General features: G+C 42.9%; 2 annotated features.

Moving 5' to 3' along the window:
* Nucleotides 767-1,310: an enhancer, noted in NCBI's record as "OCT4-NANOG-H3K27ac-H3K4me1 hESC enhancer chr10:125399627-125400170 (GRCh37/hg19 assembly coordinates)". NCBI's record gives its function as "activates a minimal SCP1, AML or CMV promoter by ChIP-STARR-seq in naive and primed H9 embryonic stem cells {active_cell/tissue: H9 hESC(naive and primed)}" and the evidence as "EXISTENCE:reporter gene assay evidence [ECO:0000049][PMID:30033119]".
* Nucleotides 1,311-1,854: an enhancer, noted in NCBI's record as "OCT4-NANOG-H3K27ac-H3K4me1 hESC enhancer chr10:125399083-125399626 (GRCh37/hg19 assembly coordinates)". NCBI's record gives its function as "activates a minimal SCP1, AML or CMV promoter by ChIP-STARR-seq in naive H9 embryonic stem cells {active_cell/tissue: H9 hESC(naive)}" and the evidence as "EXISTENCE:reporter gene assay evidence [ECO:0000049][PMID:30033119]".

The raw sequence follows: 2,769 nt of genomic DNA, 5'->3' as shown, positions 1-2,769 counted from the left end.
ACGATTTGCAAATATTTTCTTGCATTCTGTGTGTGCATGTGTTGTATTGAAGTCAAAATTAGATTAAATGTAGAACTAGACATGGGGCAATATCTTTCTACTTTTGAATCCCAAATTTGACATTTAGTTTCAGCAAAACTGCATCATCTGTCATGCCAGTAATGTAATAATTTGAACGTTATTGCTTTATAGTTTTAATTATTTTTTATAAATGTGCTTTACTTCTATAGTTCTGTAGAAGCTACCTACAAAATTAGGGAATTGATATACAGTTTTAGATTTGAATATATTTAAATAATATTATAATAAGAATAACTTAAATCAACACTTTCCTTTAAGAGGTAACCTTTTATTTTTCAAAGACTGCCTTAGTCTGTAAATTCCATGAGGCTACACAGCGTCTGCCTTATTCGCCATTGCATTACCTGAGCTAACACATAAAAAGTGCTCACGAAATAACAGGGCTAACCAAAGGTTTTCTGGCCCAAGTGCAATGATAACGGGCACAAGTCAGACATCTGAGGAGGCCAAACAGTGCACAAAGTCAATGTTTCTCCCTGGCATTAAAAATACACAAGAATGGAAAACCAGGGGGGAAGAAAGCGTGTGTCTGCATCAGCAAAGAATAGAATCAAGCAGTTCAGTCGGCCACAGAAAAATGGAATAGGGAAGATGTTGGAAATAGCTTCCTTATCATCTTTGCCTACAAATTTGTGTGCCCTGATTTCAGCCCATGACCCTGAGCCCTCTGAAGCCGCTCTTCCCTCATTTGGCAGCTGTCCTCACTCCCAGATTGTATTGGCTTGGGCTGTCCCTATGTCCACAGCACTTTTAGAAAAAAAACCCAGTGTTGCACCCTTCATGGAGCTGGTCCCAGTTCTGACCCAGATTCTGCCAAGAAGGAATAAAATCTAACCTTAAGTAAGCTCTTCCTAGATTCCATGTACTTTGCATTTCATCCTTTTCACAACTCTGCAAGATGGTTATTAGCATCTCATTTTGCTGATGAGGAAACTAAGACTGGGAGAGGGGAAATCTCTGCCCAAGGTCACTCCACAGGTGAAGGTCGCAACAGGGATTCCTTTTTCGATAAAATGACTCAAAAGCCCAGGCTTGCCTCTTTGTCCTGCTGCTCCCAAACAGCAATGCTGTCTATTTGACCATTGAAGCTACTTGCAAATTTACAATGAGTGAGTCACAGAGACTGGAATCCATCACAAAGGCCTGTCAGCCCTGACCCCGAGCAGAGTTTGTTGCAGTCTCTGCCTCCTGCTCCTTTTAGAGAAGAGCTGATTTTCCAATAAGGTCTGAGGTCAGGGGGTCTTTTCAGCATCACCCATTCCATAGCTTGGGTCCACTTTGTCCCAGTCTGCATAAGCACAGCAGACACACAGGCTGAGAGAAGTCTCCACACAGCTCTCGTTTCTCTCTTTAGATGGAAGGCCTGCTAGTGGATCCCAATGGCATCGCTTCTTCCTTTTCTTCAGAAGCTTTGGTCTGCCACACCCAGCCTCTTCAATGGCTGTTGCATTCTACGTTCCCCAAGAGAGCTTTCCACAGCCTTCCATTTCTACAGCTTTAGAAGGCATCTGATCCAGGAGCATCAGTGTCAGAGCCTGATGTCAGACTAGAGATAGGGAAATCCAGAGAAAAACCTTCTTATCATAGTCAATGCTGGCCCATCATGTGTCCCTGGCATCAGAAGGTGGAAGAGGGTGGATGGATGGTGAACCCAAGTAAGTTTGTAGAAACTGGCCATTAAAGCAGCTGAAACTTCTCTCATTCGGGGTAAAAAATCCAACAACTTGATCCCTGAGTTTTGCGTGGACCCAATCTCTTCTAAAGGGATGGGAACTTGGCATTCCCTTCTAAGAGGAACCTGTCAGGAGAAATGAGGGAGGGATTGCCTTGGATTCTAAAAATGTCACTCTCTCCCTCTTGACTGACATGTGAAGCCCCACAGAAGGCTCAAATCATGGTGACAAAGTCTCCTGCAAGGACACTGGCCTCTGCCCCGGCTGGTAACAGCATCCTAACACAGGCTTCTTAGACAGCAAGACGAAGGCTGCAATGCCAGGGAGCTGAGGATGCATCAGAGCACCAGGCTGGGTCCCTGGTAGGTTCCCATGTGGGTGCTCCTTGTACACCCTGGGGGAGGCATCCAGGCTTTGGGCCTGCGAATATGCAAAATAAAGCAGGGGAGAAGACTTCTGACTTGTAGGCAAAGATGATAAGGAAGCTATTTCAAACATCCTTCCTCTTCCATTTTTCTGTGGCCAACTGAACTGCCTGATTCTATTCTTTGCCTGATATAGACAAATGCTTCTTCCCCTCCCCACTGCCGATTTTCAGTTGTTATCAACTTTTAATGCCAGGGAAAAATACTTAAATACTGACTTTGGGCACCGTTTGTCTGCCTCAAATGTTTGATTTGTGTCCGATATTGCCATTGCATTGGGATGGAAAACACTTAATTAGACCTGTAAAAATTTAGCCAATTACATTTTCAAATACTTGGGCAAATTCTCTGCATGCAGACAATTGACAGATGGTCTCCATTTTCATTAGGCTGTTTGTTTTTGTGTTTAGAGACATAAGGCCCAGAACATGTGGGTTGAAGTTTACACAGAGCTAGTACCAGCCCAAAGGTGTTCACAGAGACCTTTCTGCTCTATTTATTTCATTTGAATATGTGTTGTTTTTAAATGGATTTTTCATGGCATAAAAAGAAAAATAAATTTTTCATAAACTGAAAGGATATGATGCATT

Source organism: Homo sapiens, chromosome 10 (assembly GCF_000001405.40).
Source record: "Homo sapiens chromosome 10, GRCh38.p14 Primary Assembly".
NCBI classification, from domain to species: domain Eukaryota; kingdom Metazoa; phylum Chordata; class Mammalia; order Primates; family Hominidae; genus Homo; species Homo sapiens.
This window is presented reverse-complemented; position numbering and strand designations above follow the sequence as displayed.